This window comes from Homo sapiens, chromosome 16, assembly GCF_000001405.40.
Source record: "Homo sapiens chromosome 16, GRCh38.p14 Primary Assembly".
Classification (NCBI taxonomy): Eukaryota; Metazoa; Chordata; class Mammalia; order Primates; family Hominidae; genus Homo; species Homo sapiens.
This window is the reverse complement of record NC_000016.10, coordinates 67,844,726-67,872,616: the sequence shown is the minus strand read 5'-3', so window position 1 is coordinate 67,872,616 and position 27,891 is coordinate 67,844,726. Positions and strand designations below refer to the sequence as shown.

The 27,891-nt window shown below is 51.3% G+C and overlaps 2 protein-coding genes across 6 annotated transcripts in view, besides 3 other annotated features; one reads left to right on the top strand and one right to left on the bottom strand.

The window, feature by feature from the left end:
• Positions 1-49: 49 nt before the first annotated feature.
• On the bottom strand, positions 50-25,684 carry NUTF2 (nuclear transport factor 2). Of its 5 annotated transcripts, none has more exons than NM_001322039.2 (6): positions 25,632-25,684; positions 25,161-25,339; positions 7,388-7,515; positions 4,206-4,277; positions 4,018-4,116; positions 50-1,817 (listed from the first exon to the last, which is right to left on the bottom strand). In NM_001322039.2, exons 3-6 carry the CDS (start codon positions 7,484-7,486, stop codon positions 1,704-1,706), a joined length of 384 nt encoding a protein of 127 aa, NP_001308968.1. In that variant the 5' UTR covers positions 7,487-7,515; positions 25,161-25,339; positions 25,632-25,684; the 3' UTR covers positions 50-1,703. The 5 variants fall into 5 exon arrangements, with proteins under 5 accessions (NP_001308968.1, NP_001308967.1, NP_005787.1 ...); NM_001322038.2 differs by lacking the exon at positions 25,161-25,339 and adding an exon at positions 12,067-12,156; NM_005796.3 differs by lacking the exon at positions 25,161-25,339.
• Positions 24,799-24,908: an enhancer, noted in NCBI's record as "active region_10991". NCBI's record gives its function as "activates an Ori minimal core promoter by ATAC-STARR-seq in GM12878 lymphoblastoid cells {active_cell/tissue: GM12878}" and the evidence as "EXISTENCE:reporter gene assay evidence [ECO:0000049][PMID:35858748]".
• Positions 24,924-27,891, top strand: part of CENPT (centromere protein T) — a 19,537-nt gene continuing 16,569 nt past the window's right edge. The window contains exon 1 of the mRNA NM_025082.4: positions 24,924-25,216. The gene's annotated coding sequence lies outside the window, so the exon portion shown is untranslated. The remainder of the gene's footprint in view (positions 25,217-27,891) is intronic.
• Positions 25,379-25,728: a silencer, noted in NCBI's record as "silent region_7629". NCBI's record gives its function as "represses an Ori minimal core promoter by ATAC-STARR-seq in GM12878 lymphoblastoid cells {active_cell/tissue: GM12878}" and the evidence as "EXISTENCE:reporter gene assay evidence [ECO:0000049][PMID:35858748]".
• Positions 25,929-26,198: a silencer, noted in NCBI's record as "silent region_7628". NCBI's record gives its function as "represses an Ori minimal core promoter by ATAC-STARR-seq in GM12878 lymphoblastoid cells {active_cell/tissue: GM12878}" and the evidence as "EXISTENCE:reporter gene assay evidence [ECO:0000049][PMID:35858748]".

The following is a 27,891-nucleotide window of genomic DNA, read 5'->3' as shown; positions in this document are numbered from 1 at the left end:
ATCCCCTTGTCCCACCTGGCACCCTCAGGTTGGAAGAAAGAAACCACAGTTTACAAATTCTTCTTTATTGCAGACAGTTCAGGCACAGGTACATGGAAGAAGCCGTATTGCAGATTTTACACAAGGTGGTTTGAGGCAGCAGGCACCTACCTCTTCCCCACCCCCACTTCCCCAAATACACATCAGCCTAGAGATCATTCCCACTGAAATCTCCTGAGCATGCTGTCCTCTCAAACAGCACACCATCCAGCCCTGTGCCCAATGTCACCAGGCAATCTGTGGGATCTGAGGAGGTCCTTAGCCTCCACCCGTAGTGGGACAGGGGAAGGGTATCCTTTTACATGTCAGATTTAGCTGTGGTGTCCTTACCAATCCTAAAACCCTTAACAGGGCACTGACCCAAATCTTGGGTTTGGTTCTAGCCTATGGTTGCTACATTGCCACTAGGTTTATACCATCCAGAAGTCTGTGGGACAAGGGGCTAGATTTGTACTGGGCAAGGCCTTTGTCCCCAAAATGGAGAAGCAGAAACTGCCCTAATAGCTAAGACTCCCCGGAATTGGAAGATAGCATGAAGTCTGTATGCTGAGGAAGGAAGTGGAGAGAGGCCTGGCAATGTCCTGCAGCAGTCTGAGGGGTGAGGACTCCTAAAGCATGAGTCCCTCACAGACTGCCTCCTTCCACAGCTCCTGACCTATACTCCAACACAACTGGGCCTGGCTCTGTGGGCAGTGGAGGCTGGCTCTTCGGGTTACCTGCCTTTGGGTAAAGATATCCAAAGCAGATGGGACAGGAGCTGAGCTGCCCTCTGCCTGGCTTGGTGTATGTGGGGCATCCTGGATATGATCCTGATCCTTCTGGGGATAGAGCAGGCCCCTCCCTTGATACTGCTGACAACTCAGCCCGGAGGGCCTGAACGTGATGAGCCATTTTGCCAAGGCCTCTCCAGCTTCAACAGGATTCAGGATCATCTCTCCTGCTACTAGGGCCCTGAACCTACCCAGAGCAGAAGTCACAGGAGGTATCAGAACTGACTGCACAGGCTTCAGTGAGAGAAGCTTCAGGCCAGACCTGAGCTCTTCCTGCCTGCTTTCCAAAGACCAGTCGCCCTGTGGAGTGGGAGAGAACTGCCCTACACGGCTTCTGAGAGGCTAGCTGGGAGTGCTGCTTCAGCAGTTTCTCCCTGCAACAGGTATTCAGAGTTGGGGCAGAAGTGGGAGGGTGAAACATGAGAGAGACAACGGGTCTGGGTAGCTTCTGATGCCCAGCCAACTAGTAAACTAATTAAAACAATTTAAACTGTTAAGAAAATTTTTGTGGTTTTATTGTATCATGAGGCATTGAAACATCTGAACAAATCAATGTCTGGGCGGTGAGGCAGCTGCTTTCTCCTTCACTTCTTTGGGTTACTAGAGCAACTTGTCAGTAGATTAAAAAAAAAAAAAAAAAAAAAAGGACAACCTTTTGCATTACTTAAGTCTTTCCAAGGCATGCGCTGGTACAACACAAACTTCTCCCGTCAGATGCAACTAGTCTAGCATCCAAACATCATGCACAACACCTCAGTGGCAGCAGCGCACTGCGCCCACTCCCACCGCGGCCCTGCTCATTTGTGCATGATATTTGGAGCATCTGGAGGAGTGGGAATAGTATTGGGAAGAGGAGGGAGGAGGAAACAGCGTGAGTGCCTAGCTGAGAGGAGGTCAGCCAAAGTTGTGCAGGGCGAGCCTGAACATGTCATTGGTGCAAACCCAAGCATCGTTGATGTTCTTTAATAGGAACATCTGGTGGAACCCCATGATGGGGTCTTCATCCGCCTATGAGGAGAGAAAAGAGGATTCAGTAAGGGGATCAAGAAACAGGAAGGGAATTCAGTGGTAGGAGAAGAGGGCAAAAAAATGTTGACTTTAGGATCAGGCCCTACTGTCCTGAACTCAAATCCCAGTGTAGCCAAGGGGTACTTGTGAATGTGAATTGATGTAATGTATGAAACAATGCCCTGGGCACATGTAGGCCAACAATCAGCCACGCCTATGTGTGCTATGTGTGCTTAAACTGCACAATAATTCACCCTTAGCTACAGCAAAAGAGCAGAGGATGTACCTGCCTCCAAGCACATATCTCCAGACACAAGTGATCACAATTTTGAAACGAATCCCATAGTATTTACCAAGTAACTTATAGAGTATCAAAAAAACTGCAAACAATCTTGAAAACATAGGTTCACTATCCAATGATGTTTCCTGTCATGTAATAAACAGTATTTGAGATGAAAAAAAAGGGCAAGAAACCTGCAGCCAAACTGCAGAAAACTAGGATGAGACCTAGTTGAAATAGGAGCCTAGCTAACCAGCACTGTCTCTAACATCACCTGCTTTCTGGGAATTATCGTCATCAAGGAGGCAAATCAGTTGTTTGGGAGCTCCAAATTGGACAGAATCACCAGGAAGAACCTGAAGCCGGTGGGAAGCAGCAGTGTTTACTACCTTTGCCTGAGAAAGTGAACAATGAGCTCCCTACAGAGACCTCCTGAATTCTGTGCCTCTTCAGGCACAGGCACTGAGCAGGACATCCTGAACAGGCAGGAGAAACTGACAGGAAAGTCCAGGCCAGAAAGCAGGTGCCTCTGCGTCCACTGCAGAGGCCCACAGGACCACCTACACACCCACTCTGGACTCAGGAAGCCCTGTCCCGGCTAGCCTAGAGAAAGAGAGCATGTGACCATGTTATTGTAAGACACAAGCCCAGGCCGAGGGGCAGCCAATTTGTCCTGCTATTTTTGGGAAGAAGGGTGTTTTTGTAAACAGAATCTGGCTTTATTTATTTATTTAGAGACAGAGTTTCACTCTTGTTGCCCAGGCTAGAGTGCAATGGTGCAATCTCAGCTCACCGCAACCTCTGCCTCCCAGGTTCAAGCGATTCTCCTGCCGCAGCCTCCCGTGTAGATGGGATTACAGGCATGTGCCACCATGCCTGGCTAATTTTGTATTTTTAGTAGAGACAGGGTTTCTCCATGTTGGTCAGGCTGGTCTCAAACTCCTGACCTCAGGTAATCTGCCTGCCTCGGCCTCCCAAAGTGCTGGGATTACAGGCGTGAGCCACCGCGCCCAGCCCAGAATCTGACTTTAATATGCTGAAGCACAACAGGTCCTTGGAGAGTTCTTGGGGGGTCTGAGGGACCACAGGAAGTCTCTGAGAATAATAGGTCTTGAGAAGGAGGAAGGAAAATGCAAAGAGAAATAGGTGGCTCACGCCTATAATCCCAGCACTTTGGGAGGCCGAGGCAGGTGGATCACCTGAGGTCAGGAGTTCAAGACCAGCCTGGCCAACATAGTGAAACCCTGTCTCTACTAAAAATACAAAAAATTATCTGGGTGTGGTGGCGGGCAGCTGTAATCCCAGCTACTTGGGAAGCTGAGGCTGGAGAATTGCTTGAACTCGGAAGGCAGAAGTGTAGTGAGCTGAGATTGTGCCACTGCATTCCAGCCTAAGCAACAAGAGTGAGACTCCGTCTCAAAAAAAAAAAAAAAAAGAAATAGGAGTTCCAGGAATCTGCTTTGCTCAGCAGGCAAGGAGCCAGCAGCCAGCCTGAGGAGTGGTAGCAAGGGCTGCAGGAGTGGACTGCCTCTCCGCACCCAGCTAGCCTGTCCACCTTGACCTTAGGGCAGAGTGGGAGCCTAGTGGCTTGGCACCCCAGTCCCATCCTACTCCTATACTTCTCCCTTTTCCAGATAAAGGCTCTAGACCAGTGTCTGCCAATAGGACTTTCTACAGTCACAAAAATGTTCTATATGGCTAGTACAACCGAAGAAGTACATTTTATTTAATCTTAATTAATATAACTTAAAAATTGCCACCTACATGTGGCTAATGGCTAGCATACTGAACTACGCAGCTCTAGACAGTCACTTTGTCTGGGTGTCCCTAGATAAGCAGGTCACATCCACAGGGAAAGCAGGGGTACAAGACTCTCCTCTGCCTGCCCACCCCTCCCTACCACTGTGGCAGTACCATTACCTTAAGCTGGCCCACAACCATGCTGATGATGCAGCTATCTGGAGTGGGCTGATGGTCCTGCGCGGTGATGCTGTGCTGAATTTTCTGGAACGGAAGGCTCTACAAGAGAGAGAGTGGGAGGTGGGAGAACCAAGGCCAGAAGGGGTGGGAAAGGAGCCACCTGCACCCTGGCTTTCTTCCCTACTTACAGACAACTTCTCCACAATGGCAGCTTTCCCCTGGAACTGTTGTCCTTCCCACGTAAGGCATGACGCGTCAATCTGAAAAAGGCACAGGAAACCCCAGGGTTGGGGCCTCAGAGTACAAGTATCTCTAAGGCCCTGGAAAGACTCTGAAAAGGGCCTTGCTTGGAGAAGTGTGGCCACACTTCAGTTTCCCTGTCTAAAGAAGGAGACTGAGTATAGCCCCCAAACATTACACTATCAACATCTTCTACCCCATTGACCCTGGGCCCAGGCTTTGAAAGACTATTTAATAAAATATACTTCCCATTTGTATTTAAGAAGTCATATGGTCTCTGATATGCATAGGCCCAGGAGGGCTATATTGGCCTGAGCTCAGCCATCCTGCTGTGTGGTCAGTCAGTGTCAGTCCCAAAAGGTCATCAGAAATGTGGCCAGGCACGGTGGCTCACGCCTGTAATCCCAGAACTTTGGGAAGCCAAGGCGGGAAGATCACGAGGTCAGGACATCGAGACCAGCCTGACCAACATGGTGAAACCCCAACTCTACTAAAAATGCAAAAATTATCCAGGCATGGTGGCGCACGCCTGTAATCCCAGCTACTTAGGAGGCTGAGGCAGGAGAATTGCTTGAACCCAGGAGGCGGCGGTTTGTAGCGAGCCGAAATCGCACCACTGCACTCCAGCCTGGGTGACAGAGCAAGACTCCATCTCAAAAAAAAAGTCATCAGAAATAACTTGGAAAAATTCCACATTCATCACCCTCCAGGGCCGAGGCTAAGTTCCACTGTGGACTTTCTAGCTAGCCTTCTGGATACCCATGGGGTCAGGGAGAGATAGAGGCTGACAGGGCCTTCCAAGGCCTAGTCTGGGACCCTCCCTACCACCAAGAAGCAAAATCTCAAATGTAACCCACTTAGCTTAGTTCCACCTCAAATCTTCCCTTCCACAGCCTTCAAGGGCAGAACTCAAAAGGGCTTCTGCTGCTTACTAGCTGTGACATTAAGTAAGTTATTTCTCTGAGTCTTAGTTTCCTAACCTTCAAAGGGGTAATGTGCTGAGTATTATGAAATAATAAATATAAATTGTTCTTTTAGGACCTTGCTAACTCTCTTCTCTGGCTCAGGCCTGCTTTAAGAGATAATGAGGCCAGGTGCAGTGGCTCACACCTGTAATCCCAGCACTTTGGGAGGCCAAGGTGGGTAGATCACTTGAAGTCAGGTGTTCCAGACCAGCCTGGCCAACATGGTGAAACCCCGTCTCTCCTAAAAATACAAAAATTAGCTGGGCATGGTGGTGCGTGCCTGTAACCCCAGCTACTTGGGAGGCTGAGGCATGAGAATTGCTTGAACCTGGGAGGCAGAGGATGCAGTGAGCCAAAATCGCATGAATGCACTCCAGTCTAGGTGACAGAGTGAGACTCCATCTCAAAAAAAAAAAAAGGGAGAGTGATAATGAGGCACAAGTGCCAGGATCTCAGGTCAGATCACTTCAAGGTTTCAAAAACTCTATGCTGGGCATGGTAACTCACACCTGTAATCCCAGCACTTTGGGAAGCCAAGGCAGGCAGATCACCTGAGGTCAGGAGTTGGAGACTAGCCTAGCCAACATGGTGAAATGTCACCTCCACTAAAAATACAAAAATTAGGTGTAGCCGGGCGCGGTGGCTTATGCCTGTAATCCCAGCACTTTGGGAAGCTGAGGCAGGCAAATCACCTGAGGTCAGGAGTTCAAGAACAGCCTGGCCAACATGGTGAAATCCCATCTCTACTAAAAAATACAAAAATTAGCCGGGCATGGCAACACGTGCCTGTAGTCCCAGATACTTGGGAGGCTGAGATGGGAGAATAGCTTGAACCCAGGAGATGGACATTGCAGTGAGCCAAGATTGCACCACTGCACTCCAGCCTGGGCGACAGAGTGAGACTGCATCTCAAGAAAAAAAAAAAATTAGGCTTGGTGGTGCATGCCTGTAGCCTCAGCTACTCCTGAGGCTAGGCACAAGAATCGCTTGAACCCAGGAGGCAGAAGTTGCAGTGAGCTGAGATCACCCCACTGCACACCAGCTTTGTTGACAGAGTGAGACTCTGTCTCAAAAAAAAAAAAAAAAAACTCTACTATGATAATGACAATCAAATATCTGTGCTGGAATTGGTCTTCCACTAATAAAATTTCATTATTTTTTCCAAAATTTCTGAATGGACACTGACTTTCTGGAGACAGACACAGAAGACTGTGGAGAGTCAGCCCAATCAGGCTCTGAGACTGTGCCTGGATTACTCCTAACACCCCCATCCTGGGCTCACCTGCCTGATCAATCACATTTTTGTGACTGACTCTCAGGCAGAGTCAAGTACAATTAGTTCTTGGTGTATATGAACATCGTTAAAAGAGCAGCAAATGCCGGGCGCAGTGGCTCACGCCTGTAATCCCAGCACGTTGGAAGGCCAAGGTGGGAGGATCACGAGGTCAGGAGTTCGAGACCAGCCTGGCCAACATGGTGAAACCCCATCTCTACTAAAAATACAAAAAATTAACTGGCCATGGGGGCAGGCGCCTGTAATCCCAGCTACTCGGGAGGCTGAGGCAGGAGAATCACTTGAACCCAGGAGGCGGAGCTTGCAGTGAGCTGAGATCGAGCCATTGCACTCCAGCCTGGCGAAAGAGCAAGACTCCATCTCAAAAAAAAAAAAAAAAAAGAGCAGCCAGCAATGCCTGCATAGAAGGGTTTGTGAAATGACCTATCAGCCTCCCTGGGCTAACCTCATTTGTTTTCCATGAGCATTCAGGAGCCTTGGATCCAAAAGGAAGCTGGACCCCAGGCCTCCAAGAGAGCTCAGCTTTGCACTGAGGATGCTCATGGCTGCTGCCTCCAGAGGGCACCATGAGCCCTAACCTCTGCCTGTTGCTGCCCAATCCAAAACCATGTGCCATGACAAATGCTGGCCACATGGAATGGCAAGCCCAGAACAGCAGGATTCTCACTCTTGTGGAAGTTGACAAAAGGAAAAGTATAGACCAGGTAATTACTTGGGCCAAGCGTCAGACCCCTGTCCCGTGGACAAAAGTTCAGATACAGAGGTGTAGCCAGTCCAGATAGGGCTGCCAGAACTTGTGAACTGGACACACTGGCCCAACATCCAAATTGATCCCCTAGGGTCCATTCTGGCCCTAGAGCTGGAAACTTACGTAAATTGCGCCTAGTTGGGTTCTATCATTATCAAATAACTGGTAGTAATGTTGAATGAAGCTGGATCCAATCTGCTCCCAAATTGGCTTGTCTCCCATTCTGGAGCGTCACCCGGCCTCACGGAGACCTGCAAGACCAATGAGACCAGGAGGGAAGCATTGGTACCATGAGAGTAGGTGACCAGCCACTGACCCCCACCCCTCACTGGCCTTCCTGGAGTCCTTTGCTGAGATCTGTTCTCTCAGAGAACACGGACAGGCCCTGGGGAACTGGCAGGAGACCCCTCCCAAGCCAGACCAGTGCTAGGAGCCCAGAGGTAGATCAGACCCAGCCTCTCCTTTGAGTTCTTGGTTGATGAGACACATAGATGATAGGGTCGTGGAGCACACAGGAGGGGTGCTAAGGGTAGATCTACAACAAAGAAAGGTCAGAGCAGGCCCTTGAAAGCCCAGTAAGGGGAGGGGCCTTATGGGAGGAGTTAAGCACTCCTCCAGTATCTTTCCATGTAATCCTCTCAACAACCTGCAAGGACAGAGTTATTGCTATTCTTCCCACTTTACAGCCAAGAACAACTGATACCTGTGTGTGTGTACTATTTTGTACTACAGCCCTCAGGCCCCCAACACTGTCCCAGGGCTACGCTGACAGATGGAAGACCCAGTGAGGATGTGGGGAGATTCTCAAGGCCCCTCTTCTTTTTTTTTTTTTTTTTTTTTTTTGAGACAGAGTTTCACTCTTGTTGCCCAGGCTGGAGTGCAATGGCGTGATCTTGGCTCACTGCAACCTCCGCTCCCTGGGCTCAAGTGATTCTCTTGCCTCAGCCTCCAGAGTAGCTGGGATTACAGGCGCCTGCCAACACACCCAGCTAATTTGTATTTTTAGTAGAAATGGGATTTCACCATGTTGGCCAGGCTGGTCTCGAACTCCAGACTGCAAGTGATCCACCCGCCTTGGCCTCCCAAAGTTCTGGGGTTACAGGCGTGAGCCACTGTACCCAGCCAAGGGCCCTCCTCTGCCAAAAACAGCAAGTGATCCCTTAGTCTCATGGGGGCAGTTTACTTCCCCGAGGCCAGGTGATTACCTGACCTGGCCCTTTCTAGGATATTTCTTCATTGATGGGAGTGACTCCTACCCACTTCAGAGCTGGGGACATGAGTTCAAGGATCAGAGGGAAAGCTGAGGGTTGTGGGAAGAGGGGATGGAGGCTGTGAAGGGAAACGTGTCATCCCTTCATATCCCCTCATCCCAGCATTGCTTTTACCCTAAGGAGCTGTCTCTCTCGGGTCTCTGAGAGGAGGCCCCCTCCCAACTAGAGACCATGGCTGTAAGGATACTGGATGGAAAACCCAAGCCCCAGATGGGAGAGCCGCTTGGGCTTTGCTAGGCTGCTTCCAAGTAGGGAAGCCCACATCTTGCTGCAGATCCCCTGACTGCAGACCCACATGTTTTTCTGTGGATGGCCCCAACTGTAGAGGAGCCCACTCCCTCTGTCCTGATAATAGGACTCTGAACCAAAGCAGTGAGGAGGTGGGTTCCACCCCAGCAGACAAGCATTCGCAGTGGTGGGATCTGATGCAAGTCACTGCCCTTCTTAGGGCCTCAGCCTCCTCCACTATAAGATGGGGATGGCAACCTGACAGTGCCGGTGGTTGTGAAGCTTCTCTAAAGGAACATGATAAAGCCCTCAGCTCAACATGGTAAGTGCTAGCTCACTCCAGTCCGTGTGACCTCGCCCAAAGCCAGAGGAGCCAGCGGGGAGGAATCGTGTAGGGAAAGAGTGAGAACGCAGCCAATCCTCCGCTCTGTGACCAACACTCAAGCCAATGAGGGAGCAGGAAGCTAAGCCAGCTTTATTTTAGGTCCCCTAGGAGGTAGTGGCACTAAAAATAGAAGCTCAGTGCTGGGATGACTAAGAAATGTCCAGGAAAATCTAAAGCAAGCAGGGGAGAAAGCTTGGATCCAGTCACGCCTGCCACACAGGAACACAAGGTGTGTCCTAGTTCATACTCTGCCAAGAAAGAAATCAACAAGTGGGGAAAGCACAGGACCATCATCTAGTCTTCACTGTGGTCTTGGTCACATTTCCAAGAGGTCAGACACTGGCTGTACTCACACACAAACTTAGAGGACCTAAGGCAGAGCACAGCTCCCACCTCTGGCATTTCTGCCCCGTCCACCTGGTACTTGCTATGCTTAGTCACTCAATGTGCCCTGACCCTGCTGCAGCTTCCAAGGTGCCATACCCACTGCCTAAGAGCTCTGAGGGTAGGGGAAAAGCTGGAGGAATGGATAAGGGCCACATCTCCTTCTACCCTTGGCTCAGAGCAAAGTTGGGCAGTCCTCAGAAAGGGTATGCCAACCAGAAGAAACAGCACCAGCAAATGTCCCGGGGCATGAAAAGGGTCTCGCTCTGTCCCCCAGGTCAGGGTACAGTGATGCCATCTCATCTCCCTGTAGCCTTGACCTCCAGGACTCAAGCAATCCTCCCACTTCAACCTCCCAAGGAGCTGAGACTCCAGGCAAGCACCACCACGTCTGGCTGCTTTTTGTGTTTTCTGTAGAGACCAGGCTTCACCATATTGCTCAGGCTGGTCTCAAACTCCTGAGCTCAAGTGATCCACCCAGCTTGGCCTCCCAAAGTGCTGGGATTACAGGCGTGCACCACCATAACTGGCCTGTGATAACTTTCTGATACAAAAACTCCTTGACTGAAGTGGTGGTGGAAGGAAATGGGGTGGAGGGATAAAGGAAGAGAAAGACCCTTTGGCCTGGTAGGGCAGAGAAGAGTGGGGAAGAGTAAGCTCTCTGAGGAATAGGACACATCAGGGGCTCCCAGAAAATGACAAGGAACCTTCAAAACTATGTGGGATTGAGGCCTGCTTCACTGTCTTGTGTTTATTTCCAAGTAGTGATCACAACAGCCACATAGTCAGAATCCACTGTCATCCAGTGATGTCGCTGGGTCTTGCCCTAAGCTCACCTGGTACATCAGTGCTGACACTGGGTCCTCTGGTCAAGGCCCGTCTCTTTTTTCTGCTAACTCTGCATCCCTGAGCTCTAAACCACAAAGCTGACCATGCTCCTCCCCTACAAACACCCTTGCTTTTGGCTTAAAGGCCAAACTCCCTAAGCTCCACAGGTGGCCATCCACCCTCATCCCCATCTCCCTAAGCCATTCCCTCCTACCTCGATCCAGCTACATACAGACACAACAGAACCTACCGAGAGCCTGCTCACCATGTTTTGTACACAGGAAAGTCCCCTCCTGCGATCCCCACCCTTCCCACGGGAGGCAACACTCTTGAGTCCAAAAAAAGAAGCAAGAGTGCAGAGCCCCCATCCTATCCCCATGCAACATGAGGGAGGGGTCCAGGCCAGGCTGGAAGATGTTCCCCAGAATAGCCAGCAAGCTCTGATCTTGTTTCTAACACATTTACTGTGCAAGTAACAGGCTGGAAACAAAAAAGCCCGGGCTCAGAGGCAGCCTCACATTAGACTGGGGACTGACCATCATGACAGCTTCTCCTACAGCTCTTGTGAGAGGGCCGCTGACCACACCATCTCCTGCTTCACCCCAACAGTCCGCAGGCTGAGGCCAGGCTCCTTGAGGAGCAGAAAAGACTCTGATGACCTCTCACCCACTGAACACCAGCCTTCACTGACCCTTAGGTCTCTGTGAGTGCAAAGACCCTCCAAGAATGTCTCAGCAACTGTGGCCCTCTCCCAACACATTTGCACAGAGGTAGAGATGCCCCAGCCTTGTGAATAATTTTCAACTGTTCAGCCATAGATCCCAGGTTAAAACCTCTGACCCAGGAGATCCCGTTAGACAACAGAAAAACTCCATTTTTATCTTCCAATTTTAAGTGTTTCCAAGAACAAAACTCAAAATAACTGTCTGGCTGTGAACACTTCATTTTCACTAATGCATATGAGGCACAGAAATGTGCAAAGAGCTTATGTGCACTTGTTTGTAACCACACCCTGTGAGTCAACCCCCTTGTTAGAGATGACCAAAAGGAGATTCAGCGAGGTTAGCCAACTCCAACTCGCTCTAGGTCAGCAGCTGATAGGTGGTGGAATTGGACTGACCAGATTTGGAGGCCTCTCCAGAGTCAGGACTTCTAGTGACAACGTGGGCCTGGAGACAAGAACAGACTACATCAGTGAGAGCACTCCTCTGAGCCTGGCTCTCTCAGAAAGGGGCAAGGCAGTCCTGAACCAGGGCTTCCACCTCCAAACAAAGGCCTCAGGCAGAAGAGTTCCACATCAAACCTAGAGTCCAAACAACAGGAGTTTTCATGGAGGATGATGTCAGCTTTCTCAAACCTTCGAGGTCACAACCCTGTTCTACCATCTCAGCAAAGCAGACAGAGCAGACAGAGATCCTAGCCTGAGGCAGGAGAGTGATCGAGAAGACGCTATCACTCCTTCCAGACTGGCACACAGAAAGATTCTCATGTGTCTGCTGAAGCCCACAGGGAATGCCAGCAGATTTGCATGGCCTACAGTGAGGGCCCCAAAATTGGTACCAGTCGTGGCTATCCTCCACACATGCTATCACGGAGGCCAAAAACACAGCCTTGAGGCACAGCCTGGAAAGGACTCCTCCAACAGGGAAACTGATAGCCAACATGGCTTAAACCCCTCAGGCCCAAGGCTGGGCATAGTAGCTCACATCTGTAATCTCAGCACTTTGGGAGGCCCACGCAGGAGGATCACTTGAGTCCAGGAGTTCCAGACCAGCCTCAGCAACAAAGCCCCATATCTACAAAAAATTTTAAAAATTAGCCGGGCATGGTGGTTCACTCCTTTAGTCTCAGCTACTCAGGAGGCTGAGGTGGGAAGATCACCTGAGCCTGGGAGGTCCAGGCTACAGTGAGCTGTGAACTTACCACTGCAATCCACCCTGAGTGACAGGGCAAGACTCTGCCTCAGAACAAACAAAAAGGCTGGGCATGATGGCTCACACCTGTAATTCCAGCACTTTGGGAGGCCAAGGTGGGCGGATCACAGGGTCAGGAGATCAAGACCATCCTGGCTAACATGGTGAAACCCCGTCTCTACTAAAAATACAAAAAATTAGCTGGGCGTGGTGGCAGACACCTGTAGTCCCAGCTACTTGGGAGGCTGAGGCAGCAGAATGGCGTGAACCCAGGAGGCGGAGCTTGCAGTGAGTGGAGATTGCACCACTGCACTCCAGCCTGGGCAACACAGCCAGACTCCATCTCAAAAAAAAAGAAAAAAAAAAATAATAAAATATCTGGCCATGGTGGTGTACACCTGTAATCCCAGCTACCCGGGAGGCTGAGGCAGAATTGCTTGAACCCGAGAGGTGGAGGCTGCAGTGAGCTAAGAACGACCCACGGCATTCTAGCCTGGGTGACAGAGTGAGGCTCCATCTCCAAAAAAAAAAAAAAAAAAAAAAAAAAAGGCCTGGCGCAGTGGCTCACGCCTGTAATTTCAACATTTTGGGAGGCCAAGGCGGGTGGATCACCTGAGGTCAGGAGTTCCAGACCAGCCTGGGCACAACATGGTGAAACCCCATCTCTACTAAAAATACAAAAATCAGGTCAGGCGCGGTGGCTCACGCCTCTAATCCCAGGACTTTGGGAGGCTGAGGCGGGTGGATCACCTGAGGTCGAGAGTTCCAGACAAGCCTGGCCAACATAGAGAAATCCCGTCTCTACTAAAAATACAAAAAATTAGCTGGGCATGGTGGCAGCTAATTTTTCCCTGTAATCCCAGCTACTCAGGAGGTTGAGGCAGGAGAATCGCTTGAACCCGGGAGGCAGAGGTTGCGGTGAACCGAGATTGTGCCATTGCACTCTAGCCTGGGCAACAAGAGCAAAATTCCACCTCAAAAAAAAAAAAAAAAATCATCAGCTGGGTGTGGTGGCATGCACCTGTAATCCCGGCTACTTGGGAGGCTAAGGCAGGAGAACTGCTTGAACCTGAGAGGTGGAGGTTGCAGTGTGCTGAGAACACCCCACTGCACTCCAGCCTGGGCAACAGAGTGAGACTCCATCTCAACAAACAAACAAAAACAAACCCTCGGAGCCAGAGTGTAAAAAGCGTCTTGCGGGTGTGGTGGCTCACACCTGTAATCATGACTGTAATCCCTCGGACACTTTGGGAGTCCAAGGCAGGAGGACTGCTTAAGCCCAGCAGTTCAAGACCAGCCTGGACAACATAGTGAGACCTCATGTCTACAGGAAAAAAAAAAAAGCTGGACATAGTGGAATATGCCTGTAGCCCCAGTTACTCGGGAGGCTGAGGTAGGAGGATGGCTTGAGCCAGGGAGGTCCAGACTGGGCAACACAGTGAGATCTTGTCTCAAAAAAAAAAAAAAAAGTGTCCTGAAGGCAGAGCAGCAGCAACCAGACAGGAAGACACTGCTGGGTGTCAGTCCTTCTGGAAGTCCCCCGATTTTATGGTCTGAGGAGGGGTGCTACTATGTATTCTGTCCCATGGCACCTGGAACAAAGTCTCAACCACTTATCCTGTCCTAGGTGACCTGGCCCTCCTGGCTGTCCAACCTCATCTCTTGCCACTCCCTCCCCTCCTCTACAGTTGCACCAGGCAATTTCCTCTATCTGGAACATGCTGAGTCTGTTCTCATCGCAGGGCTTTGTAACTGCTGCTCCTTCTATCTGGACCACTCTACTTCCTAGATCTTCGTGTGTCACATATGTGCCAGCTCGAATGTCACCTCCTCATTCACACCTTCCCTGACCCCTTAGTCTAAAGTTGCTGTCTAGTGGCCAGGTACAGTGGCTCACGCCTGTAATCCCAGCACTTTGGGAGGCTGAGCAGGCAGATCACTTGAGGTCAGGAGTTTGAAACCAGCCTGGCCAACATGGTGAAACCCCGTCTCTACTAAAAATACAAAAACTAGCCAGAAATGGTGGCATGCGCCTATAGTCCCAGCTACTCGGGAGGCTGAGGTGGTAGAATCACTTGAACCAGGGAGGCAAATATTGTAGTGAGCCGAGATCATGCCATTGCACTCCAGCCTGGGCGACAGAGTGAGATTCGGTCTCAATTAAAATAAATAAATAATAAAGTAGCTGTCTGATTACCCATTTTGCCTCCTGTATTGTTTTCTTAGCACTTATCACTGCATGACATTGTCACAGTTTGGTATTTGTTTACGGTCTATCTCCCTGACAAAGCACCCCTAGTCATCCCTGTTCCCATGGTACCTGGCCCAGCCCTCAAACAAACTATTTGTTGACTAAGTGCATGAGTGTGTCAGAGCCTGGGCTGAGAGGCCAGCCCTTCTTCTCTGGAGGAGGAGTAAGTTCTGGGCAAACTCCACTCAAGTGGCCTACTGACCCACTTCCCCTCCACCCACACCTTCTGTCCAAGCTGTGAGGAAACAATTATTTGTTGTCCACCCAGCTATCTGTCTATGGCATGTGGCAATTGGGGCTTGGCCCCAATACTCTCTCATTCCCAAGGTCCTAGTGAGAGACAGCTGTGGCTAAACAGCAGGCACAGCCACACCCTCAAAGACCTGGCCTCTAGCCTGCTCCACTTCTCCCTTGTTATTTGACCCTTTGACTCTGTCCCATCATTAGTAATTGTAGGATGTTAGGAGGTAATGAATGGGGTATGGAGCAGGACCCAGCTGTAAGGAGTCAGTATGGGTTCCTAGGTGAATACTAGGTCAACAGCTAGGAAGAAGGTAGGTATCTCGCCCACACCATGGAGATGGCCTAGAATCAGGAATGGAAACTGCCTGGCCCGCCACTCCCCTGGCTGAAGGATGGAGTGCAATCAGCCCAGATGGCTGGCCAAGACAGAATCCTTTCCTGGGGCTGTCACCTGAGGTCTAGGTGCCCACAGCACCCTAAGGGCCCCTTCCTCCTCTTCTGCCTGCAGGGAGGGTTCTAGAGCCACTGGGCTTCCCTGACTGGCCCAGCTGAATCCCGAGACCTGCATTCTGGTCTCTGCTCTGCACTCACTCCCTATGTAACCTCCCTTTCCCCAGTGACTGAGAAGACCTCTGGGGCCCCATTCCTTCTACACAGCTCCCATCTGTGAACTGAGCCTCAGGCCATGAACTTGATTGTCAGGTAAACATGGACTTGGCTCCCCTAATGGGGCTTGAGACCCCTAAGTGACCACTCCTGTGGCCTGGCCAACACTGTTGTGACACGCTGAGACTGAGAAGAGCAGGGAATAAAGGGATGACCATGGCGTCCACAGAGTGGTGGAGGGAACACCTCCTGTGAGTCAAACACTTCTGTATTCTCTCACTTGAGTCTCACAACAAGCCCTGTGAAGCTGGTATGATTATCTTCACTTTATAGACAAGGAAACAAAGACTCCAAGAGGTTAAGAAAGAATTTAAGACCACAAAAGGCCACTGGCATAGCCAGCATTAGAATGTCCACAAAACTGGCCGAGATGGGGCCGGGCACAGTGGCTCATGCCTGTAAACCCAGCACTTTGGGAGGCCAAGGCAAGTAGATCACCTAAGGTCAGGAGTTTGAGACCAGCCTGGCCAACATGATGAAACCCCATCCCTATAAAAAATACAAAAAATTGGCCATGTGTGGTGGCAGGCGCCTGTAATCCCAGCTACTCCGCATGCTGAGGCAGGATAATTGCTTGAACCCAGGAGGCAGAGGTTGCAGTGAGCCAGGATCACGCCACTGCACTCCAGCCTGGGCAACGAGAGCAAAACTCCGACTCAAAAAGGAAAACAAAAGCAAAAAAAAAAAAAAACTGGGCCAGGGATGGTGGCTCACGCCTGTAATCCCAGCACTTTGGGAGGCCGAGGCAGGTGGATCATGAAGTCAGGAATTCAAGACCAGCCTGGCCAAGATGGTGAAACCCTGTCTCTATTAAAAATATAAAAATTTGCCAGGCGTGGTGGTGGGTGCCTGTAATCCCAGCTACTCAGGAGGCTGAGGCAGAGAATTGCTTGAACCTGGGAGGTGGAGGTTGCAGTGAGCTGAGATCACACCACGGCACTCCAGCCTAGGCGACAGAGCGAGACTGTCTCAAAAAACAACAACAACAAAAAAAAACTGGCCGAGATGCAAACAGCTGAGAGCCAATGTGGAGTAGCAGAAAGCACCTAAGTGACAAAATCAGGTGTTACAAGAACATGTCCATACACCTGTCCACCTTCTTCAGGGACGTCCAGATTGGCCACATCGTAACAGTGGGTGAGTGCCGGCCCCTGAGCAAGACAGTACGCTTCAACGTGCTCAAGGTCACCAAGGCCGCTGGCACCAAGAAGCAGTTCCAGAAGTTCTGAGGCTGGACATCTGCCCACTCCCCGCAATGAAATAAAGTTATTCTCATTTCCCCCATCCCCCCCCCCCGCCAAAAAAAAATCGGGTGGCAAGGAATGCAGCCCAGGCCTTGTCTTCCCCTATGAAATCAGCAAGCTCCATGGAGCCTCAGAATGGAAGAACCTGAGCACCTACTCAGCAGGTCAAAGCAGCTTTACACCTTAGGACAACTGAGAATTTGCATTCTCCTAGTCCTGAAACCACCTGCAAGTGGAACCAGTATCTCCACACAGAGCTCTTTCCTGGGGCAGCAAGCTTTCCAGTTTCTGCCCTCGGGAGACCCACTGGCTCTGATGGAATCATTCGAGACTTTAAGAAACAAACATTCCAAAATTCCCCCAGTTTACTGAGGACACTGGGACAAACAGCCCTCAGTTCCCAGGTACCCCAGAAACCCCTCTCTAATAAGGGTTCCCTATCCCCATAGCAGCCCTGTCTCCAGCCTGGGGGCTTAAGGAGCTGGCACACAGCAGGTACAGCAACAAATGAGTAACGCCCCAGACAATGAAAAGAAGTTCTTGGCCACTGGTCAGCCAGCAGTAGGAGCCCTGTGGCCCCTAGGCAGGCCACCCTGGGCCTCGTGTCCCTCTCCCTTGGCCACTAAGACACGTTCCCAGCCAAACCCAGACCCAAGCAAAGCATTCTGCCCAGGAGGGCACACTCCAGCTGATAGGGTGAGGAAAAAGAGGGTGAATAATATCACATGACCTAAGTCACTCCAAGGATAATCCATACACTGCTGGCTCCCCGAGGGAGGGACTCAAGAATTCCTGCCATATATGATCAAAGGAAGAGAGAATCACAGAATCACAAAGCCAGGAAAGGGGTAGCCAACTCAAACTGAACTGCAAACACACAAACATCATTCTCAAATGCCCTATCAAAACATTAATTAAAAAAAAAAACAAACCAGCACCCAGCACAAGGTTCGGCTCAACCTCAGCTTAAAGAAATCCTGCCCAACTTTTTTTTTTAAAGACAGAGATCTCCCTTTGTCGCCCAGGCTGGAGTGCAGTGGCGCGATCTTGGCTCACCGCAACCTCCGCCTCCCAGGTTCAAGCAATTCTCTTGCCTCCCGTGTAGCTGGGATTACAGGTACCTGCCACCATGCCCTGCTAATTTTTTGGAATCTTGGTAGAGACGGGGTTTTGCCATATTGGCCAGGTTGGTCTCAAACTCCTGACCTCAGATGATCCACCCACCTTGGCCTCCCAAAGTGCTGGGATTACAGGTGTGAGCCTCTGTGCCCGGCCAAGAAATCATGCCCAACTTTCAATGTCTATTCTGTGGAAAACTTTTAGGATTCACTCCCCTTGCCCCAAAAGGACTATTCCTCTGTCCTGGAGGCCTCAACGAAAATGGTCTGAATTGGATTCTAAAACAAGCGCTATTGGTATTTCCAAAGTCCCTGCTGTCTCCTGTTTCCCTCTGTAAGCCCCCAGGCAAGGGCCATCTGTTGAAGGAACATCCAAGGAGCCTCCCTGACCAGGTCTGCTGAACCTCCCACCTCTGTGGAGAATTCCTGTCTGGTGCCTGGGAAGATGCCCTGATGGGTACCACCACAGGAACAACTATTGGGCACTTAAAGTGACCATAGGAGGGTCTCAGTGAAAGGAGGAGAAGCCACAAACCCATGCTCCAAGCAGGGGACTAGAAGGCCTCGCACAGGCCAGGCAAGCAGTGGCTCACGCCTGTAATCCCAGCATTTTGGGAGGCCAAGGCGGGCAGACCAAGAGTTCAAGAGATCAAGATCATCCTAACCAACATGGTGAAACCCCATCTTTACTAAAAATACAAAATTTAGCTGGGCGTGGTGGCGCGTGCCTGTAGTCCCAGCTACTTGAGAGGCTGAGGCAGGAGAATTGCTTGAACCTGGAAGGCAGAGGCTGTAGTGAGCTGAGATCATGCTACTGCACTCTAGCCTAGGTGACAGAGCGAAACTCCATCTCAAAAAGAAGGCCATGCACAACAGGCCAGGCGTGGTGGCTGTTCCCTATAATCCCAGTACTTGGGAGGTTGAGGCAGGAGGATCACCTGAGCTCAAGAGTTCTGAGACCAGCCTGGGCAACACAGTGAGATCCCGTCTCTACAAGAAGTTGTAAAACTTGGCTGGGCACAGTGGCTCACATCTGTAATCCCAGGACTTTGGGAGGCTGAGGCAGGAGGATTGCTTGAGCCCAGAGTTCAAGACCAGCCTGGGCAAGATAGTGAGACTTTTGTCTCCACAAAAACTAAAAAATAGAATATAAAAATTAGCAGGTGTGGCCAGGCACAATGGCTCATGCCTGGAATCCCAGCACTTTGGAAGGCTGAGTGGGCAGATCACAAAGTCAGGAGTTCGAGACCAGCCTGGCCAATATGATGAAACCCTGTCTCTACTAAAAATACAAAAATTAGCCAAGCATGGTGGCAGGAGCCAGTAGTCCCAACTACTTGGGAGGCTAAGGCAGGAGAATCTCTTGAACCCAGAAGGTGGAGGATGCTGTGAGCCGAGATCGTGCCACTGCACTCCAGCCTGGGAGACAGAGTGAGACTCCGTCTCAGAAATAATAATAATAATTAGCCAAGCGTGATGGTGCGCACCTGTAGTCCCAGCTACTCAGGAGGCTGAGGTGGGAGGACTGCTTGAGCCCAGGAGGTCAAGGCTGCAGTGACCTGAGATGGCACCAACTGCACTTTAGCAGTGCCACAATCACAGCTCACTGCAGACTTGAACTTCTGGGCTGAAGTGATCCTCTTGCCTCACCTCCCAAGTAGCTGGGACTACAGGCACCCACCACCATACCTGGCTGGTTTCTATTTATTTAATTTATTTTAAAGACAGGGTCTCACTGTTGGTAAAAGAGTGAGACCTTATCTCATTAAAATAAAATAAAATAAAATAAAAAGGCTGCTGATGTACCCTAAGAAAAACTTTAAAAAGAAAGAAAAAAAGGGCCGGGAGCGGTGGCTCATGCCTGTAATCCCAGCACTTTGGGAGGCCAAGGTGGGTGGATCACCTGAGTGAGGTCGGGAGTTCGAGACCAGCCTGACCAACATGGAGAAACCCCATCTCTACTAAAAATACAAAATTAGCCAGGCGTGGTGGCACATGCCTGTAATCCCAGCTACTAGGGAGGCTGAGGCAAGAGAATCGCTAGAACCCAGGAGGCAGAGGTTGCAGTGAGCCGAGATCACGCCATTGCACTCCAGCCTGGGCAATAAGAGCGAAACTCTGTCTCAAAAAATAAAAAAATAAAGAAATAAAATAAAGAAAAAAAGGCCAGGCATGGTGGCTCAAGCTTATAATCCCAGCACTTTGGGAAGCTGAGGTGGGCGGATCGCCTGAGGTCAGGAGTTTGAGACCAGCCTGGCCAACATGGCAAAACCCCATCTCTACTAGAAATATTAAAATTAGCCGGATTATACCGGCAGGCGGGTATAATCCCAGCCACTCGGAAGGTTGACACAGGAGAATTGCTTGAACCCGGAGGGCGGGGGTTGCAGTGAGCCGAGACTGCGACACTGCACTTGAGCCTGGGCAAGAGTGACACTTCACTCCAGCCTGGGTGAAAAAAAAAAAAAAAGAAAAAAAGATAATAGTGTTTTGTTAAGGGAAACCTAGCCTTTTTTTTGGAGACAGGGTCTTGCTAGAGTGTCCCCAGGCTACAGTGCAGTGGCATGATCATAGCTCACGGTTCCTTGACCTCCTGCAGCCTCTTGAGCAGCTGGAACTACAGGTATACAACACCACAACCACACTGGCTATTTTTTTATTTTTCTTTTGTAGAAATGGGTATTGCTATGTTGACAAGGCTAGTTTTGAACTCCTGGCCTCAAGCAATGCTCCAGCTTCAGAGCTGGTGCTGAATCCTAGAATTTTTGATATAAGGTGGCTTCTAGTTATGAATTTTTTTTTTTCAAGATGGAGTTTCGCTGTTGTTGCCCAGGCTGGAGCGCAATGGCACAGTCTCAGCTCACTGCAAGCTCCGCCTCCCAGGTTCAAGCGAGTCTCCTGCCTCAGCCTCCTGAGTAGCTGGGATTACAGGCATGCACCACCACGCTCAGCTAATTTTCATATTTTTAGTAGAGACAGGGTTTTTCCATGTTGGTAAGGCTGGTTTTGAACTCCTGACCTCAAGTAATCCACCCACCTCAGCCTCCCAAAGTGCTGGGATTACAGGCGTGAGCCACTGCGCCCAGACTTGTTCTGAAATTTGAAAATTCTGTGTCTCCAGGGTGGAAACATCACACACCGGGGCCTGTCCTGGGGCGGGGGTAGCGGGGAGGGATAGCATTAGGAGATACACCTAATGTAAATGACGAGTTAATGGGTGCAGCACATCAACATGGCGTTATGTATACATATGTAACAAAACTGCAAGTTGTACACATGTACCCTAGAACTTAAAGTATAATAATAATAAAAAAAACAAAATTCTGGTCTCCCTTGTTTTTTGAGACAGGGTCTCACTCTGTCACCAGGCTGCAGTGCAGTGGCACAATCTTGGCTCACTGCAACGTCCGCCTCCCTGGTTCAAGCGATTCTCCTGCCTCAGCCTCCCAAGTAGCTGGGATTACAGGCACCTGCCACCATGCTCAGCTAATTTTTGTATTTTTAATAGAAACAGAGTTTCACTATATTGGCCAAGCTGGTCTCCAACTCCTAACCTCGTGATCCGCCCACCTCGCCCTCCCAAAGTGCTGGGATTACAGGCATGAGCCACCGCACCCTGCCTATTCTGTGTCTCTCTTAAGTAATTATTCCCCTCCCAAACCACCAACTCCAAAGGCAACGGAATAAAACAAGACATGGCTCAGAGAGAAGAGATGGGCTCGGCCAGGTGCGGTGGCTCACACCTGTAATCCTAGCACTTTGGGCAGCCAAGGCGAGTGGGTCACTTGAGGTCAGGAGTTCAAGACTAGCCTGGCCAATATGGTGAAACCCCATCTCTACTAAGAATACAAAAATTAGCTGGGTGTGGTGGTGGGCACCTGTAATCTCAGCTACTCGGGTGGCTGAGGCAGGAGAATTGCTTGAACCCAGGAGGCGGAGGTTGCAGTGAGCTGAGATTGCACCACTGCACTCCAGCCTGGGCAACAGAGCGAGGCTCTGTCTCAAAAAAAAATAGTGATAGGCAGATAGGCTCCTATACACGAAGGGACATAATTTTGAGCTAATTGAGAACTGAGGCATCTTGTATCCTGCCTCATCCTTGTGCGGCAATATCCCAACCACCGCATGCCAGGTCCCACTTCCAAGTCAGCCCTACATGAATAGAGGATGCAGATAGATCCTGGAGAACCTCAGGCCACTTCTCTTATATCTGAGACCTAGATGGCCCGCCAAGTTCCAGAAACATTTAACGAATTCTCAGGATCAGGATGCCTAGCAATGGCTAGCTGACCTCAGACAAAGAGGTTACAGGGAACGGCCAGGCGCGGTGGCTCACGCCTGTAATCCCAGCACTTTGGGAGGCCAAGGCGGGTGGATCACGAGGTCAGGAGATCGAGACCATCCTGGCTGACATGGTGAAACCCTGTCTCTACTAAAAACACACAAAAAATTAGCCGGGCGTGGTGGCGGGTGCCTATAGTCCCAGCTACTCGGGAGGCTGAGGCAGGAGAATGGCGTGAACCCGGGAGGCGGAGCTTGCAGTGAGCCGAGATCGCGCCACTGCACTCCAGCCTGTGAGACAGAGTACGACTCCATCTCAAAAAAAAAAAAAAGAAGTTACAGGGAACTTCTAGAGGTTGGAATGAGAGGGAGGGACCTGAATTCCTCCTACTCTTGAGTAACGTTGGAGAAGGAAAAGTATCTTTTTGTCCCTGAAGAAAACCCTTGTGATCACTGGGCAATTGTTCACATCTGTAATCCCAGCACTTTGGGAGGCTGAGGTGGGAGTATCGCTTGAACTCAGGAGTTTGAGACCAGCCTGGGCAACATATGGAGATGACATCACTGCAAAAAATAAAAATAAGGCCGGACGTGGTGGCTCACGCCTGGAATCCCGGCACTTTGGGAGGCCGAGACGGGCGGATCACGAGGTCAGGAGATCGAGACCATCCTGGCTAACACGGTGAAACCCCGTCTCTACTAAAAATACAAAAAGTTAGCTGGGCGTGGTGGTGGGCGCCTGTAGTCCCAGCTACTCGGGAGGCTGAGGCAGGAGAATGCTGTGAACCCGGGAGGCGGAGCTTGCAATGAGCAGAGATCGCACCACTGCACTCCAGCCTGGGTGACAGAGTGAGACTCCGTCTCAAAATAAATAAATAGATAAAAATAAAAATAAAATTAGGCCGGGATCAGTGGCTCATGCCTGTAATCCCAGCACTTTGGGGAGGCCAAGGCAGGTAGACCACCTGAGGTCAGGAGTTTGACCAGCCTGACAAATATGGTGAAACCCCTTCTCTACTAAAAATACAGAAATTAGCCAGGCATGGTGGCGTGCGCCTGTAGTCCCAGCTACCAGGGAGGCTGAGGCAGGAGAATCGTTTGAACCCAGGAGGCGGAGGTTGCAGTGAGCCGACATCGCACCACAGCACTCCAGCCTGGGTGACAGAGAGAGACTCCGTCTCGAGAGAAAAACAAAAACTCTCCTGGTCAAGTCACCCAGGGCCATGAAATACGCAAACTACGCCATAGCCGTAAGCCAGCTCACCTGAAATCTGTGTCCTAGAAAGTACCCACGCAGACAATCTACAGGGTCTTGAAATAACTGCTTCTAGTTCTAGATTTCACCTCATTGTCCTGTGGGTAGTCCCTCCTTATTGCCCAGCTCCACTGGCAAAGTTGGCCTCTCCTGAGCCTCTTGGATGAACCTGATTTCCATGTCCTCATGGGCCAGGATATGGACTAGGAAAGTTACATCCAGAGAGAAGGCAGGGCTTGGTAAAATCTGAGCAGCATTCTTGCCTATTCTTCCTGACCAGGGAGAATAACTAGGCAGAGCAATTCATATGCAAGAAAACTTCTAGGTCAAGAGTACTTGGAAGAAGTGACCAGAAATGAACAGAAAAACATTACCTGGGAAAATATTCAAGGAGGAAGAAAAAAATATGCAGGGTCAGTGGCTTTCTTCACCTTGGGTCTCAATCAGCCCTTCTAAGAGACCTGATATTCTGCTTGCTCCTGAGGCCAGAGCTGCAGAGATTGAGCTGCTGCTGCTTTTTTTTTTTTTCTTTTTCTTTTTTTTTGAGACAGAGTCTTGCTCTGTCGCCCAGGCTGGAGTGCAGTGGCATGATCTCTGCCCACTGCAACCTCTGCCTCCCGGATTCAAGCGATTCTCCTGCCTCAGCCTCCCAAGTAGCTGGGATTACAGGTGCACGCCACCACACCCAGCTTTTTTTATTTTGGAGACAGAGTCTTGCCCTGTCACCCAGGCTGGAGTACAGTGGCATGATCTCAGTTCACTGCGACCTCCACCTCCCGGGTTCAAGCAATTCTCCTGCCTCAGTCTCCTGAGTAGCTAGGATTACAGAAGTGCACCTCCACGTTCAGCTAATTTTTGTATTTTTAGTAGAGATGCGCTTTTGCCATGTTGGCCATGCTAGTCTGGAACCCCGGACCTCAGGTGATCCGCTGGCCTTGGCCTCCCAAAGTGCTGGGATTGCAGGCGTGAGCCACCGCGCCAGGCCTGAGCTACTTCTTTAGTCTCTGGAAAGACTGCGGCTCAGAGAAATCAACGCTTTACATGCCATCTCTCCCCTAGTCCCAAGGTCTTCTCTGGACTGGTTCCTTAATTTACCATCTCTCAATCAGAAGCGCCTTTACAAAGGATATCAGGATAGTATTTTTTGGTCAAAGATAACTCTTCCCCCAGAACTCAGTAGGGTCTCTGATGGCATCAGTAAGGGCAATTTCATAAAGCAACCAGGTTCCTGCCTGTTTACAGGCAGCTCCAGTTGTTGGGAAGTGAGCAAGCAAGTGAGGGGAAGCCAGACTTTCTGGAGCTTCCAGCCCTAGTTCTGCCACCCAGGCTTCGGGAGGGCCCCACAAAGTCTGAAATCTACGTGCCCCACCCCCCAAAGCCCCTTCCAGCCCAGGTTCTGGTTTAGCACTAGGCTCAAGAACCTCAGGCCTGAATTCTACTTCCCGTGCATTAAGTCCCACCTTAACATCCCATTCTTATGAAGTCATCCTGTCCTGCGGGGCAATTCTGTGTTGCTGCTGGGGCCTGGTCACTGATAGAGAAGGGCGTGGGCTGGGCCTACCCGGCAGGAGCCGCCTCACCCCATCAGGCCCAGATCCTCTAAGACAAGACAGGGATAAAGTCTCCCGTGGAATCCCCTCCCGCCTCATATTCCCTGACCCTGCCCTCCCTGCGAGAACTCCAGTCCGGGCTCCACAAAGGGCGCGGTAAGAAACGTACACTTCCGAGGGGCAGACAAGGAGGGGGCGTTCACCTACACCCCGGCCGGGCTATGGTCGGGAACAGGGTGAGGGGCCCAAGCCCCGGCTGCGGCAGGCGGGCGCCCTTACCCATGCTGACTCTGGAGCGGGCCGGGTGGCGCTGCCCATCCCCGGATCCTTCGTAGGTGGGTAGCAGGACGTGGGGCTGGGGTCTGCCCGCTAGCCAGCCTGCAGAGCTTGCGGGGCTCGCGCAGGCCGGGCCAGGCTAGACGGGGCGGGGCCCTAAGGCCCCATCCGGACGGTCCTGACTAGAGAAAAAGGCCTGGCCATGGCGCAGGCCGGTGCACCAGCCACCAGCACGGTACGGCCCAGATAGGCGCCCGGCTGGCTCTCTGTGCGTTACCCCCGGCCGCCGCCTCACAGGACCGGCGGGAGGCGGAGCCGCGCGCGACACATGGCCCGGGCCCCGCGCGGCTTCGGGCCGCCGGGGGGGGGGGAGGGGAGGGGCCGCCCGGGGACTCTCAGCGGAGCCTCCCGGCAGCCCAGAGAGCGGCTCCTGCGGCCCAGCCCCCGCCCCGGCGTGCTGGCCCCGACACTCACCCGAGGGGCTGGCACGATGGCGGCAGCGGCAGCGGCAACCCAGCGCGGTCTGCGGCCGACTGTCCCTTCCCCCCTGCCTTCCTTCGCCCGCCCCGCTGCACTCTGGGAGACGCAGTCCCACCGCCCCCCCTTTCCGGCATGAGCGCGCCGAGAGAAAACTACAATTCCCGGCGTGCTATGCGCGGAGGCCCAGACACGGCCCGCAGCGCGGGAGGTGAGGCTAAGCCAGGGAGGGAGGCTGCCGGGGCAAGCCCCTGAGAATTGTGGTCTAGCGGAAGCCTCTGGAACACTAGAGGTTGGCGCCAGGCTAGGGTCAGGGCTCAGTTGTCTCCTGGTCTCAGCTGGCTCGGCCCCGCCCAGTCTGTGCACTGGGGTGGGGGTTGGCCCCGCCTCCGTGGGAGCCCAGCCCGGCCCCAAGCTGGCCCAGCTGCCCCTCCCTGGGCCCCTGGGCCGTTTCCGCTCACGAAACCCCCTCCCCTTGGGGCTATGGCTGCCGCTGTTACTCTTCCGAGCTGTGTGGCCTTAACCAGCCCGGGCGGAACGCACAGCTCCTGCAATCCCAACATTCGTGCGCCTGCACCTCGGCGAGTCGGGCCCAAAGCTGGTTTCGAGCAGGCTAGGCTATTCTTGGGCCGGAGACTCAAATGTCCCTCAGGTGGGGCTTGGTTGGAGAGGTTACCCTCAAACTTCTACAGTCAGGGGTCCCCCCAAAACATTCTGTAAGGTTTTTTTGCAGCAGATAGAGCAGCTAAGTGTTTCATTTTTATTAATGAGGAAAGAGAAATGACTGACTTACCCAAAATTTCGCTGTGATTTAAGTGACCAGATTGTAAATAGTTCTCTTCCTACCCATTGCCCTTTCCTTTCAACGCCCATTTGTTTTCTTGGTAACACAAACATTTGTGGTAAGGCCAGTCTCTAGGTCAGACCTGTGCTTGGCAAAGAGATCTGCAGCCAACTTGGGGTACCACAGGTAAGGGAAATGGCTACAAGGCCTCTCCAGGCAACTCCTAGCCTTCCTTCCTGGCCGGAGGTCTCTCAGTACTCCTGTTCTTCCACAAGAGTTTTGCACCTTCCCCCACCCACAGGCTACCCCTCCAAGAGATGGCTGGTAAGACCGGACCACACTTCTGTTTTTTAAATCTCAGGTCTGTCAACACTACACTTTGCCTGACTAGATGCTTATTACTCAGCTAGTGAGAACTCTGCATTGCCCCGCTTATACATCTGCATCTGGGATCTCCCTTGCTCTGTGAACTGTCTTCTTCTCCCTAAGAAGCCAAAACACTGCCCATAACCTCCAGACACCAGGGAGGGTCCAGGGAGTACTGCTGAGAGCCTCAAGGGAGCCAATGCAGAAACAGCAGAAGTCCCTTCAATAAATAGGAGCTCAAGGATACACTGAAGAGCATGGCTGGATCCTGGAAAAGGCCTTGCTCCGACCGGGAAGATGTGAGACTGGCCCAATAGGAGCAACAAAGGGCACTGCAGTGCTTCCACCACCTGATTACCAGCCAGATCTAACCCTAGGAAGACAGAGGTCCAGTCCATCCCCCAACCAGCCACCTACACAACCTATGTCTCACTCCTTCCCCACCACTTTCCCAACTCAGTGCTAAGGGACTAGAAGGGAAACAGAGACTTGAGTTTTAGGACCATCCCAGCATGTTGCCACAGACAAGTCCCCAGGCAGATGGCTTTGTCCATAAGTAAGAAAGAGAAGGGAGTCATATTTTATGGGGTCTGAAAGTCTCCGTTTGTGCCCCACCACCCACAGTAAACCCAGAGCTTTAAAGGCATTTACTTTTAGACATTGGCTTTGAGCTAAATTACTTGGAGCTATAGACAAAAGCAATGTAATCCTTGCCCCTTCAATATTCAATCTAAGAAAAAATAGAGGCTGGGCGGGGTAGCTCACACCTGTAATCTCAGTACTTTGGGAGGCAGAGCAGGCGGATCACCTGAGATCAGGAGCTCGAGACCAGCCTGGCCAACATGGTGAAATCCTGTCTCTACTGAAAATACAAAAATCAGCCCGACGTGGTGGCGGGTGCCTATAATCCCAGCTACTCAGGAGGGTGAGGCAGAAGAATTGCTTGAACCTGGGAGGCAGAGGTTGCAGTGAGCTGAGATCACACCATTGCACTCCAGCCTGGGTGACAAGAGCAAAGCTCCATCTTAAAAAAAAATAAAAAAAAAAAAATAGAGGCAGGCAGCCAAGAAAATGAGTCAAGGAATCACACCTCCCAACTTCTTAATG

Excerpts from the sequence above, each read along its gene's own strand:
- NUTF2 (NM_001322039.2), bottom strand. The coding sequence starts at position 7,486 with ATGGGAGACAAGCCAATTTGGGAGCAGATTGGATCCAGCTTCATTCAA. Across the intron at positions 4,117-4,205 it reads CCATTGTGGAGAAGTTGTCT|AGCCTTCCGTTCCAGAAAAT; the intron begins GTAAGTAGGGAA and ends TCTCTCTTGTAG. Across the intron at positions 1,818-4,017 it reads TGGTTGTGGGCCAGCTTAAG|GCGGATGAAGACCCCATCAT; the intron begins GTAATGGTACTG and ends CTCTCCTCATAG.